Genomic DNA, 14,911 nt, shown 5'->3' with positions numbered 1-14,911 from the left:
GGACTACAGGTGCGTGGCACCACACCTGGCTAATTTTTGTATTTTTTGGTAGAGATGGAGCTTCACCATGTTCGCCAAGCCGGTCTTGAACTCTTGGCCTCAAGTGATCCACCTGCCTCAGCCTCCCAAAGTGCTCGGATTACAGGTGTGAGCCACTGTGCCCAGCCAGTTCTCTATATTTTCTTACCATTTTGACCTTTTAAAATCCTAATCATCTTTTAAAGCTTCTCTGATATACTGACTCTTCCAGGAAACTTTCCCTAATCCCTCCTTTTTAGACGGAATTAACTTCTCCCTTTGCTATACACTTATAACACTTCATTTGACTTCTAAGATTTATTCTGTGTGTTTTATAATTACCTATATTCTTATATAAACTTCTCCATTAACCTTTTAAGCTGCTTATGGTGAAGAGCCACAGTTTTAGTTCCTTTTATAGCTTCCATAAATGTTTCCACTCTAAGCAGGCACTTAAATGTTTGTTGAAGTGACTGTGTCAGATTTAGTAACTCAGGCATTTTTTATAGCAGTTTCATTCATATTTCACTGTGTTAGGGATAAGGCAGAGAATATAAAAATGCTAAGATATGGTTTCTGCTTTCAGGGAGCTTTTAATCTAATGGAAGAGACAGACACATAAATATTTACTTTACATTATGGTAAAATATAAAACAGAAATATGTACAAGAAGGGTGCATATGGCAATGGATATCTATCAATGTCTGGAGGAATCAGGAAAGGCTTCACAGAGAAGACAGCACATGAATAAGACATGAAGTACCTGTTGTTTACTTGGTACCCATGCAGACAAAGACCTAATCCCAAATTCTGGGAACTGCAAATAATAGTAGTTTGTGATACAGTCACCATTGCTTCGAAAGCTCAAGAATGAATTAAAATTAACATTTTTTTGGCCACTGGTTTTAACTGATTTTGGCATGTCTGGGGTGATTTTACAATTCTTTTTCTTTAAGGAATTTTATTCATTTTTCAGGATTTTCTCCCCTATTTTACTTTATTATTTTAAATTCAGGTTTACCCAGTTATTTCTGTTGAGTTCTTTTTGATGGCAAAAAGTTGGATAACCTAAATATATGAGAGTGATGATTAGCCGGGGGAAGGAAAATCCAATATAAATATTAAACAATGGGATTTCTATTAATTAATATATTAATTATATTATTACACAGTCAGGTGGACATGTTATGCTCAAAAACCAAGATCAAGCAAAAAACCACAAACAAATTAGTAAAGGAACAATATTACAAACACATATAATCTTGCCTATTTAGAGACAACTGCCATTCACTGTATAGTATATATCGTTGCATATTCTTCATACATATATAGATACATTAAAACAAAGGGATATTACATAATATGTACTATTTTGTAACTTACCATAATTTCATTAATTTAATTCCTCTACTTATTTTGGGATATTTGGGTTGTCTTTAAAAATTTTTAATTGTTGGTCATTTCAAATTGTCCCAATATTTTACTATTACAAACAGTAGGGAACTGCAAATATTCAGTAAGCATTGTAAAGTGGTCCTAAAAATTAATTGTCAGAAGTCCTGGCCAGGGCCATCAGGCAAGAGAAAGAAAGAAAGTACATTCAAATTGGAGGAGAGGAAGTCAAACTATCCCTGTTTGCAGATGATATGATTCTATGTCTGGATTCTATATATATATTTATATATATTATATATAAATTTTCTAGATATAGGATCTCAGCCCAAAAGCTCTTTCAGCTGATAAACAACTTCAGCAAAGTTTTAGGACACAAAATCAGTGTACAAAAATCACTAGCATTAATGGCTTTTCCATATTCTTTATATGTGGACAATTTTTCTCAAGGGTAATAGCTTTCCTGTGAAATAAGGTGTAAGCACAGATTAAAAGTTTTGCCACATTCTTTATACTTGTAGGAGTTTTGCCAGTATGAATTATCTTACCTACAATCAAGTGTGGCAACCATATAAAGGCTTTGTCACGTTTTATACATTTCTAGGGTTTCACACTAGTATAACTTTTTTTTTTAATGTATTGCAAAGTTGGAGGTGTTTGTACAAGTACTGTCACATCTTTCAGGTTTGTAGAGTTCCTTTTCAGCATGAATTATCGTTTGTCTCTTAAGAATTGAGAACTTATGACTAGGCATGGTGGCTCATGCCTGTAATCCCAGCACTTTAGGAGACTGAGGCAAGTGGATCATCTGAGGTCAGGAGTTTGAGACTAGCACGGCCAACAAGGTGAAACCCCCTCTCTACTAAAAACACAAAAATTAGCCAGGCATAGTGGTGGGCACCTGCAATCCCAGCTACTTGGGAGGCCGAGGCAGGAGAATGGCTTGAACCCAGGAGGCGGAGGTTGCAGTGAGGTGAAATCATGCCATTGCCCTCCAACCTGGGTGATAAGAGCAAAACTCTGTCTCAAAAAAAGAAGAAAAAAAAAGAATTGAGAATTTGTTGTAGGCTTTGCCACGTTCTTTACACTTGTAGAGTTTCTGTCCAGTATGAATTATGTGTAATAAGGGTTGAGAACTTCCTTAAAAAGCTTTGTCACATTCTTTATATTTGTAGGGTTTATGTTCCATATAAATTCTCATATTTACTAAGAGTTGAGGGCTGGTTAAAGGTTTTCCCACATTCATCACATTTATAGGGTTTCTCTCCAGTATAAATTATCTTATGCTTATTAAGGGTTGAGGAACATTTAAAAGATTTGCCACATTATTGACTCTGTAGGTTTCCTGTGCAATATGAATTATTTTATGTTTATTAAGGGCTGAGGACCAGTTAAAAGCTTTGCCACATTCTTCACATTTGTAAGGTTTCTCTCTAGTATGAGTTCTCTTATGTTTAGTGAGGCTTGACTAAACCAGGTGAAGGTTTTGCCACATTGATCACATTTGTAGGGTATATCTCCAGTATGAATTATCTTATGTTTAGTAGGGTTTGAGGAACAGTTAAAATTTTGCCACATTCTTCACATTTGTAGAGTTTCTATGAATTATCTCATGTTTAATAAGGGTTGAGGATGAAATGAAGGCTTTGCCACATTTAACACACTTGTATGGTTTCTCTCCAATAAGAATTTTCTTATGTGAAAAAAGGGGTGAGGGGTGGTTAAAAGCTTTGCCACGTTCTCTACATCTGTAGGGTTTCTCTCCAGTGTGAATTATCTTATGTGTAGTAAGGTTAGAGGCAGCTTAAAGGCTTTGCCAGATTCTTCACATCTGTAGCGTTTCTCTCCAGTATGAACTTTCTTATGTGTAGTAAGGGTTGAGGACTGGTTAAAAGCTTTGCCTCATTCTTTACATTTAAAAGTTTTTTTTCCAGTATGTCTTATGTCTGTTTGACTTTGAAAATTTATGAGAGACTTTCACATATTTATCACATTGAAATATTTTTCTCTGGGTAGTTGTCAAACATTGGTTAAGTCCATTATAACCGCTTTTGTGCACCTTACACTCATCCACACTTTTACAGCTTTTTTTAAACTGTAAATTGTCATGTCCACATTTTTCATATCTTCTCAGTATCACTTTTTGGAAAGAATCTTTTATGCTCTGCTCTGGCCAAAGATCTTGGGCAAAATGAGAACATATAACTGGGGGTCTGGCAATCATCTTATGTCTCTTCGTAGTCAAAGGTTTTTTCCCTTGTTCCAGACAGGTCATCAGGTCTGGCTTAGAGACAACAATACCAAGGAAGAACAGGTTTCTGTAGTTCTCTAACATCACATCCTTATATAAATTCCACTGTGCAGTGTCCAGGCAATGCCACTCCTCGCGGTGGCTCACGCCTGTAATCTCAGCACTTTGGGAGGCTGAGGTAGGTGGATCACCTGAGGTCAGGAGTGCGAGACCAGCCTGACCAACATGGTGAAACCTTGTCTCTACTGAGAATGCAAAAATTGACTGGGCATGGTGGGGCATGCCTGTTGTCCCACCTACTTGGGAGGCTGAGGCAGGAGAATTGCTTGAACCCAGGAGGCGGAGGTTGCAGTGAGCCGAGATTGCGCCATTGCACTCCAGCCTGGGTGACACAGCGAAACTCTGTCTCAAAAAAAAAAAGAATGTTCATAGTTAATAAAAGCATTAAAAGTGCAATTACTGTCAAAAATTCTTTCAGAAAATATAAGCCTTTAAAGTGAAGAAGAGTATTTATTCTGAAGACAACCGTTACAAATATAAAGGGGGTTGTAGTACCTTTACTTGTATCACAGATCTTATTGCACACATTTTGTACTAGAGGAAAACCCTCAAGCAATTGCTCAAGCTTTTTTCAGCATCAGGGAATTTATATTGGAGAAGAGTCCTGCAAATGTAATGAATTTGGAAACACTTTTTTTTTTCAAAAATTACTGCTTAGAAAACACCAGAGTTTATATGAAAATATATTTTTGCCGATGCAGTAAATATGAAAAAATATTTAATTCAAAATTGATTCTATGTAAATATCAAAGAATTTACAGTAGAATAAGGTACTGACACTTCAGACATTACACGAAATCAGAGTGTTGAGTATAAAAACTAATCTACAACTAAAGTTGTTAAATTATTTGTATATAACTTTAAAGGGAGTAGATTTTTTGAAGTATTGTAATTACATTGAAAATGTACTTGTTTCCTTGAAAAAATTTTTTTGAAAAGTGAATAATGATGTAATACAGCTTTCAAATTACTTTATGCTGTTATTTTATTCCTATTGTATTCACATGGGAAAGCATATGATCAATTGTTGCTGCATCAGAGATATTAGAAATTCTTTTTTATTAGTTGGGCATTATTTATGACCTTTTCTATAAATGAATAAGGAGATTAAAATGTGAGATGCATGATGAAAATGTAAGTGGAGAGGCTCTTTGTAGTTAACTTACATTAAGTAACGTATAAGGTAGGTGTTCAGAGTAATACTTTTCAACATTATAGTGAGAGGAAGGAATGATTAATTATAGTTAAAAGTATATTCAAATAAATTACTATATTATTTTACTAATTGTACTTTTATGTAATAAAATGCAGTACATTAAAAAAAAATCACTAGCACTCATATACACCAACAGCAACAAAGCCAAGAGCCAAATCAGGAATGCAATCCCACTCACAATTGCCACAAAATGAATAAAATACCTATGAATACAGCTAACCAGGGAGGTGAAAGATCTCTACAATGAAAACTGCAAAACACTGCTCCAAGAAATCAGTATGACACAAACAAATGGAAAAACATTCCATGTTCATGGATAGGAAGAATCAATAGAATTAAAATGGCCATCTTGCGCAAAGCAGTTTATAGATTCAGTGCTATTCCTATCAAATTATCAATGATATTCACAGAAATATGAAAAAGTATTTTAAAATTCATATGGAGCCAAAAAAAAGAGGCCTGATTGCCAAGGCAATCCTAAGCAAAAGGAACAAAGCTGGAGGCATCATGTTACCCAGCTTCAAACTGTGCTATAGAGCTATAGTAACCAAAACAGTATGGTACTGGTACAAAAACAGACACATAGGTCAATGAAACAGAATATAGAGCCTGGAAATAAAGCTGCACACCTATGACCATCTGATCTTTGACAAAGCAGACAAAAACAAGCAATGGGGAAAGCACTCACTATTCAATAAACGGTGCTAAGATAACTGGCTAGCCATATGCAGAAGACTGAAGCTGGACCCCTTCCTTATACCATACACAAAAATCAACTCAAGATGGATTAGAGACTTAAATGTGAAACCCAAAACTATAAAAACCCTGGAAGACAACCTAGGCAGTATCATTCTGAATATAGGCACAGGCAAAGATTTCATGACGAGGATGTCAAAATCACAACAAAAACAAAAATTGACAAATGGATCTAGTTAAACTAAAGAACTTCTGCACAGCAAAAGAAACTATCAGCAGAGTAAACAGACAACCTACAGAATGGGAGGAAATATTTGCAAAGTAGGCATCTGACAAAGGTCTAATATCTAGCATCTATAAGGAACTTAAATTTACAGGAAAAAAACAACCCTATGAAAAAGTGGACAAGGGACATGAGCAGACACTTTTCCAAAGACATACATGTGGCCAAGAAGCATATGGTAAAAAAGCTCAATATCACTGATCATTAGAGAAATCCAAATCAAAACCACAGTGAGATACCATCTCATACCAGTCAGAATGGCTATTGTTAAAAGGTCAACAACATGCTGACGAGGTTGCAGAAAAAAGGGACACACTTGTTGGGGGATGCAAATTAGTTCAATCATTGTGGAAAGTAATGTGGCGATCCCTCAAAGAGCTAAAAACAGAATTACCATTCAACCCAGCAATCCCATTACTGGTATTATACCCAGACAAATATAAGTCATTCTACCATAAAGACATATACATGTGAATTGCAGCACTATTCATAATAGGAAACATATGGAATCAACCTAAGTGCCCAACAATGACAGATTGGATAAAGAACATGTAGTGGGAGTACTATGCAGCTAGGAAAAGAATAAGATCATGTCTTTTGCGGGAATGTGGATAGAGCTGGAGGCTATTATCCTTAGCAAACTAACATAGGAACAGATAACCAAATACCGCATATTCTCAGTTATAAGTGGGAGCTAAATGATGAAAACTCATGGACACAAAGAAGGGAGTAACAGACTCTGGAGCCTACTTGAAGGTGGGAGGAGGGAGAAGAGCAGAAAAAATAACTATCGAGTACTAGGCTTAATACCTGGGTTTCAAAACAATCTGTACAACAAACCCCTGTGACACAGGTTTACATGTATAGCAGACCTGTACATGTACCCCTGAACCTAAAATAAAAGGTAACAAATTTTATTTATGTTTGCTGGAACATTTCATATAATTAGATTAAAAACTTAAATGTTTAATTATAGGAAAGTGATTTAGCAATTCAAAGTAAATATATGCATGTGAACAAAGGCTGAGAAGAATCCTACAAAAATTAGGACAGTTATGATGGAGAGAATATAAGCAATTAAAAAAAATTTTAAGTATAATGAATAACCTAAAAAAGGGAAAAGGGTAAAAATTTCAGGTTTTTCAGGTTTTTAGGTATATTCTTTTTCAGACAGTTCAGGATGCACTGTAACAGAAATTAAAGAACTTTTTTTTCTTTTTTGGTGGGTAAAGATATTAGAGAATTAAATTAATTTATTCTCCATATATTCAGTGACTACCTACTATGTGTTAAGCATTATTGTAGACACTGGAGATACTGTTCTGACTCTCACAGTAGTTACAATTTAGCTGAATTAGAAAAATACTTATAGCTGGAAATTATTACATAAATTAGAGCCATGTTCCTATAGTTAGACACTGGTTATTTTTTTAGTGTAGCAAATGCTGCAATAAATGTAAACATTGTCTTTCTTAAAAGTCTTTGTTGATAGTACGAGAAATTAAGTAATACTATATTCAGATAACTATTAGCTATTGTAAGAAATTATAAAATAGCTCTTATTATTAGCTTTATTCTTAAGTTTAAACAAAGTTGGTATGATTTCAGAGAACTAGGTTTACCTTACTGCCACAAAATTTTTCTTATTTTTAAATCTAGGGGTTAAGTCTGCTGGGAGTAGGGTTTTAACTCTGGAGAGGTAACCTATTGGCTTAGTCATTATTCAGAGGGATAAATGAATATCAGATCCTTGCCAAGTAGAAACATTTGATAGCTCCCGAGCATTTGATGGGGGAAAGTGAGAGAATAGTGTAGTAAGTAGTGGGTGGGGACATGCAGATGCACTACTTCTACTTTATAATTTGGAAGTTATGGCTGTGCAAATTCTGAAAGGCAAACACCGCTTCTGTTTATTTTTTAGTACTAATGATTTACGTTTGCCAAGATATATTTTATAGGATTAAAGACCCTGTGAAACATGCCAGAAAGAGTTTGGAAAGGGGCAGTATACATTAAATATGGTGGCAGTTATATGAAAGTAACAATAATTAGATATTTGATTAAATTATGTAACATTCTTGATCAGATGCTAGTGTCTAATGATAACAACTTCCTTGATTAAGGATCTTACTAAAGCTGGAAAAAGTTCAATAAGTTACCTAAGTTTACCTACTTACTACTTGTGTAAGTGGTAGAGACAGTAGAGGCAGGATTTTAACTCCAAGCTCAGCTTTTAGTTAATTATGATCTATTGCCTCACATTTGGTTTTCATGGCTCACTTACTCTATGGAATATAGGGTTTTATATTTGTGAAAGTACAAGATGAAATAATTTTTAAATTGGAAAATAAGTGGAGTCAAAATAAACCTGTGGTTTCACTGAACATTGTTTGATACTTAAATGGAGCTCACATACCAAGAACATTTTGATTTCGTTTTGTGCTCACAGACCATACCCGATTTGATCAACAAAATGTATTGAACAACAACAACAAAACTTAACCAAGTAATAAATAAATAGGTACAAATTCATTTGATATTAATGGAAACACAAACTTCAAAGCAGAAGTCTGCTTTAGATAGTACATGTAAGATTTAGCTAGGTGCTCCACAACCCTATTATAAAAGCAGCTCTTAAGGAAGTCAGATATATACAAAAGGTACCTAGAGAAAATAAGTGTCCTGGGACAGAAGGAGCAGAAAGAGCAAGAACCTCAGTTGGAAGGGAATTTATAACATGAAACAAAGAAAGATGAATGCTAGGAATGAAGACGGTGGTGCCCACCTAAAAGTCATCCAGGGAAGAGGTTGTTCTGGCTTAGGGACTTAATTTATATTACCATTTTGACAGGTGCATCACTGCTGTGAATGAAGTTGAATCTATGACTTTTGTAGCCATTTCACATTAAACAACTGAATTTTTTAGTTCTGCTTTTATGTGGTAAAAGCAAATTTTAAAATTATAATTGGTAGTTTTTGTACAGAAACAGAATATTCACATCAGGTTGGACACAAGCCTTCTGACAATTTTAATTTCTCATTATAAAATAGTATGTTGGCATTTTGGTTTGTTTAGCAGTTTCTTGTGAGTTTGGTTAGTGTGAGTTCATCACCAAGGGAATCATCGTCAGCTGCTGAGTCAGCAAAGCCAAAAATGAAACTCTGTTTTATGGACTATTTATATTTACCAGAGTCACTGCTACTTAGAGGTCTCTTGGCAGTTTCTTCTGGGCTTTGTCTTAGTCTTTACATTTTCAGAAAACATTTTTGAAAAATATATTTATTAGTCTTACTGGTTTTTGTAAATGAGCATATTGAGAATTAAATTACTTACATGGGGTTCTTAAAATTTCCATAAAACTAAGTCTTTGTAGTGAAATATTTTATTGGTTTATTGATAAAAAGGCTTGAGCACTTATAATGTAGACTTTGAATATGTACTTGTGATTTGAAAAAAAAAATTTGAATAGTAACACATTTTGAGTGGTAACTCATTGTTTGCTTTTTAATTTTTTCTTCAGATCACAAAAAAATATATTAAGATCCCATTTCAAGGTAAGTTATCATTCTCTTATGAACTTGTCTTTTTACTATAGTTTTTAGTATAAATTTAAGTAAAACTAAGTTTAATAATGTTTCACCTTAATATTTTTTAGCAATTCCAAATGGAGTAAAAATGTTTTATAATGGACTTGTTCTGAAAATCGTATGCTATTGTTTTAATGACTATAAATCAAACAGTGTTAAAGGATTCATGGTGATTTCTTAGGATTAACAGAAACACAGTTCTGATAGATAGCAACAATATTTTGGTATATATAAAAATGGATAACAATAGTAACTATAAGAAAAGAAGCATAAGGAAAATGTTTAATATTGCACACAAACATGTAAAATGTTTTTGCATAGAGGGTAAGAGAATGTTATACAATTGCATATCTTAGTAAGGGAAAGTAGACTGGAAAATGTACCTGTAACTTATAGAGACTCACACCATTTTCTCATTCTCTTCCCAACTGAAAACCTTTCAGAATAAATTATGACACTAAGAAAACCAATATACAATAGAGGATAATCTATTTATATAATGAATTCTAAAAAGAACAAGGAAGAAAAACACACAAATGGCATAGATAGGAATTAGAGAAGAAGAGGCTTCTGTTCCAAGATTGGAGATGCTATCAAAGTAGCTTTAGTTGGATTAGTTGGATTTAGTTGGATTCCACAGATACTTTATGTACAGAATCCAAAACTATGTTATGATAATTGTTCTAATAATTTGATTGCTTACTGTATCTTAATTAAGTATTAAGAATATAAAGGGCACAGAATAAGTATATTGATAGTCCTAAATAGGAAATATTAATAAATTATTAAGGAATAATATTTGTTCTGTAGAAGAAACAAAAAAAGTCATGTGATTTTAAAAGGGGATGATAATTTCAGAAAAGATAGCACTACAGTTTATAGTTAAAGACCTGGGTAACAGAGCTGCCTCTCAAATTCTTGCGATACAAACATCAAAAACGATATTTTAGATTTTCACAGTTAATATTTATAATATTGCTTTCTTATTTTATAACTTTTCTATTGCATATAATTTTTAAAAGAAATTTTATTACAGATTGTGGAAAAATACTCTCTTCAGTGATAATAGGTTTATAATTTTATAATGAAAGAAGAAAATATTAGTCTTCTTCCTCAAGTCCTGTCCAAGTTCCCATAAATCTTTTTAAAACAAAGCATGCATATAAAGGTTTTTGTAGGTGGGAACCTGAGGGTCTAAATGTTTCCACTTTTTCTGTGCAGCTGGGGAAAAATTGATTTATCCGTATTTATATTAGGTATTAATTATGTTTGGCTGTTAGTAACAATGCATAAAGAAAATATTTTATTTTTCTTTCACATAGAAGAAATCCAGAAGTAATCTGAACTGATGTGATGTTTCCTTGGTCATCGGGGGCACATGACCCTGACACATGAGTTGCATTTTTCTATTCTGTCATTCCTGACGTATGACTTGCATCCTCAAGTTTATCTCATGGCCATTATTGTAGCTCAGACTCCATCATCATATTGATATTTTAGACAGAAAGCAGTAGGAAGGGGAAACCGTAAACAGAGCACATGCTACCAATCTCTTGCCCTTTTAAGGAGCCTTCTTGGATGTCCATGCGACATAACCTTTTCTGCTTACATTTTATTAGCTAGCTAGTCAAGCCCACACACCCGTTTGTAAAGGAAGCTAGGAAATAGAGTTTTCAAAACTGTGTATCTTGCTTCCCTCAGTAAAATTAGGGTTCTGTTACTGAGGAAGAAGAAGAAATGGATAAGTGGGTAGGCAACTCCCACTTTTAGTATCTGCTATACACCTGTAACAGAATAAACCATATATTGGGGGCAGACTTGGTAATGAGGTATAAATTTTTCTCATGATGGTGTTAAATTCCCTTTTTTTAAAAAGATAATCTTTTTTTAAATTATTATTATTATACTTTAAGTTTTAGGGTACATGTGCACAACGTGCAGGTCTGTTACATATGTATACATGTGCCATGTTGGTATGCTGCACCCATTAACTCGTCATTTAGCATTAGGTATATCTCCTAATGCTATCCCTCCCCGGAAACCATCATTCTCAGCAAACTATTGCAAGGACAAAAAACCAAACACCACATGTTCTCACTCATAGGTGGGAATTGAACAATGAGAACACATGGACACAGGAAAAAGATAATCTTTTAAAGTTGTCTTCCTAAAGAAAATTTAGCTTTCATTCTAAACACCAAGAACAATTAGATTAGTAGTAGTTGTGTAGATTTCACAGAAATAGGATCAAATGTACCTATGGGGCTGTGAGCTTCATGAGAAAGAAATGCTGAGTAGCATTCTGAGGGCTCTCATTCTGGTTTTGATTTAAGCTTTGCTGCCAGTTTTTACTGACAGTTTTCAGAATGGAAGAGTTACAGTATGAAGAATAGAATGACTGGCTTGGGAACATTAAGATGACTGGTAAATACTCATCATGGAAAGATTTTCATATTTTAATGTTCATGTGAATCACGGGGTTGGAGTGGGCTATTAAACTGAGATCTGCTGGTTCAGTAGATGTAAGGTGGGGCCTGATACTCTGCATTTCTAACAGTCTTCCAGATGTTGCTGATACTAATGTCACAAGCTCAGCTTAGACTATACTTTGAGTAACAAAGTTCTAGGAAATAATGCTGGGAGGAATACTAAGAGGTGTGTTTCAAATAGGTGCCCATCTTGGGTTTACGCTTGACTGATATTTGTATTCCAGTTCAGTTGCTTGCTGTCTTGCAGTTGAACTAAGTGACCTTCAGGACTTCTTTAAATCAGTTTTTTTTTTTTTAATGTTTCTTTGAATTAAAGAGTAAAAGTCCTCAGAGGAGATTCCTTTAGCTCCCTAAGAGGGAGAAAGACCAATAATTTAGAATGATCATCTAGAAGTTTTGAGAAATAAAACCTGGAGGAATTTTAAAAGAAATGTCTCCTTAGACCATTCAGAACCTCCTAATTTTCTTGAGACTCTTTTGATAGTGGCTTATCTGTATAGCGGAATGCAAATGCCTTAGGAGAAGAAAGATGGGCAGGAATTGGCCTATGATAGCACTTGTGATCTTGGTTTATATAGTATTGACCAATATAGAAAAGGTGGAAATATATCATTTTCTGAGTTATACTGTGCTTAGTTTTCTGCACTGATAGACATTTTTTTCCTTTTTGCTAACGATTATCAGAATTCCTGGAGAGAATTCTCTCCAGACAGAGTTTTTATGCTATGAATATTTAATCTCAAATTTTCCCTCTCTGGTTATAACTGAAATCATATAATGTGAGAGATTCAATCTCTATTTAATTGTCATTTAATAATTATTTAGCCCTTCCTAATTGTAATGTGATTTATTTTTACTCTAATAATACTGCTGGGGGCATTTTAGCTAAGGTTAGCAAAGTGCACTGGAAATATATTTTTGAAAAAACTATATAATTCTCTTTTTTTTAAAAAAAGTAGTGTATTAACAAGTGTCATATAATGTTTAAGTGGTGTATTCTTAAATGGATTAATTTTTTAAATTGTTGTCTTTTATTTGTTTCAGTGTCCCTGAATGAGATTTCATTGCTAGTGGATACCACACATTTAAAGCGGTTTGGGTTATGGAAAAGTAAGGATGATAATCACAGTAAAAGGAGTCATGCTATTCTTTTCTTCTGGGTCTCTTCAGATTATCTTCAAGAGATTCAGACCCAATTAGAACACTCTGTATTAAGCCAGCAATGTGAGTATAAAATGATTTCTAAATTTCAGGATAACTTGAAATTGTCATAAATAGTTTTTTCCTAAAATAATTTAATAGAATGTTATTTCAGTGAATTGAAATTAATTTTATTTAGTGAAAATAATTTTGTTTCTTTTTTTTTTTTTTTTTGAGATGGAGTCTCGCTTTGTCACCCAGGCTGGAGTGCAGTGGCACTATCTCTGCTCACCGCAAGCTCTGCCTCCCGGGTTCACGCCATTCTCCTGCCTCAGCCTCCTGAGTAGCTGGGACTACAGGTGCCCGCCACCGTGCCCGGCTAATTTTTTGTATTTTTAGTAGAGACGGGGTTTCATCGTGTTAGCCAGGATGGTCTCGATCTCCTGACCTTGTGATCCGCCCGCCTCAGCCTCCCAAAGTGCTGGGATTACAGGCGTGAGCCACTGCGCCTGGCCCTAATTTTGTTTCTTAATTTTAGGATAGATTATTTAATTCACATAATTTCTCCTTATAGTTGTATTCAACCAATTGAAATTCTCATCTAAAATAAAAAGAATAGCTTAAAAAATCTTAAATGTTTACCTTGAAAATTTTAAGTTCTTAAAAAAAGAATGCCTTATCTTTTAGTCATTTGCCATGTTTGACTACTTTCCTTCCTTTTTTTCTTTTTGTTTGAGACAGAATCTTACTCTGTTGCCTGGGCTACAGTACAGTGGCATGTTCATAGCTTCCCACAACCTCAAACTCCTGGGCTCATGTGATCCTCCCACCTCAGCCTCCCAAGTAGCTGGGACTACAGGGGTGCAGCACCATACCTGGCAATTTCTATCCTTCTTTCTTCTTTCTTCCTTTTTTCTTCCTTCTTCCATTTTCTTCCTCCTCCTTCCTCCTCTTTCTTCCTCCTTCCTCCCTCCTTCCTCCTCCTCCTTTCCTCCTCCCTCCTCCTCCTTTTTTTAAACAGATTGAAATCTTTTATTAAATTTTTTTTTTATTTCCATGGGTTTTTGGGAAACCGGTGGTATTTGATTACATAAGTTCTTTAGTGGTAATTTGTGAGATATTAGTGCACCCATAACCCGAGCAGTATACACTGAACCCAATTTATAGTCTTTTATCCCTCACCCCCTTCCTACCCTTTCCCCCTGAGCCCCCAAAGTCTATTGTATCATTTTTATGCCTTTGCATCCTCATAGCTTAGCTCCCACTTATAACTGAGAACATGGGCTGATTGGTTTTCCATTCCTGAGTTACTTCACTTAGAATAATAGTCTCTAATCCTATCCAGGTTGCTGTGAATGCCATTAATTCATTCCTTTTTATGGCTGAGTAGTATTCCATCATATATATGTACCACAGTTTCTTTATCCACTCATTGATTGATGGGCATTTGGGCTGCTTCCACATTTTTGGAATTGTGAATTGTGCTGCTATAAACGTGTGTGCAAGTATCTTTTTTGTATATTGACTTCCTTTCCTCTGGGTAGATACCCAGTAGTGGGATTGCTGGATCAAATGGTAGTTCTACTTTTAGTTCTTTAAGGAATCTCCACACTCTTCCATAGTGGGTGTACTAGTTTACATTCCCACCAGCAGTGTAGAAGTGTTCCCTTTTCACTGTATCCACACCAACTTCTATTATTTTTTCATTCTTTGATAATGACCATTCTTGTGGGAGTAAGGTGGTATCGCATTGTGGTTTTCATTTCTCTGATTATTAG

At 34.7% G+C, this 14,911-nt stretch overlaps 1 protein-coding gene and 1 pseudogene across 17 annotated transcripts in view; one reads left to right on the top strand and one right to left on the bottom strand.

The window, feature by feature from the left end:
- SENP7 (SUMO specific peptidase 7) overlaps positions 1–14,911 on the top strand; it is a 189,008-nt gene that overhangs the window by 152,124 nt on the left and 21,973 nt on the right. For 16 of the 17 annotated variants that reach the window (XR_007095714.1, XR_007095713.1, NM_001282803.2 and 13 more), the window contains 2 exons: positions 9,438–9,471; positions 13,038–13,217. Coding sequence is in view for 15 of the 17 variants with exons in the window: in NM_001282803.2 (NP_001269732.1) it covers positions 9,438–9,471; positions 13,038–13,217 (214 nt within the window). In the remaining 2 variants the exon portion in view is untranslated. Of the gene's footprint in view, positions 1–9,437; positions 9,472–10,826; positions 11,426–13,037; positions 13,218–14,911 lie in introns of those variants that run through there. The other variant, XM_011513045.4, reaches the window with a different exon arrangement.
- Positions 2,260–3,796, bottom strand: ZNF90P1 (zinc finger protein 90 pseudogene 1; annotated as a pseudogene).

The sequence above is a fragment of the Homo sapiens genome, chromosome 3 (assembly GCF_000001405.40).
Source record: "Homo sapiens chromosome 3, GRCh38.p14 Primary Assembly".
Classification (NCBI taxonomy): domain Eukaryota; kingdom Metazoa; phylum Chordata; class Mammalia; order Primates; family Hominidae; genus Homo; species Homo sapiens.
This window is presented reverse-complemented; position numbering and strand designations above follow the sequence as displayed.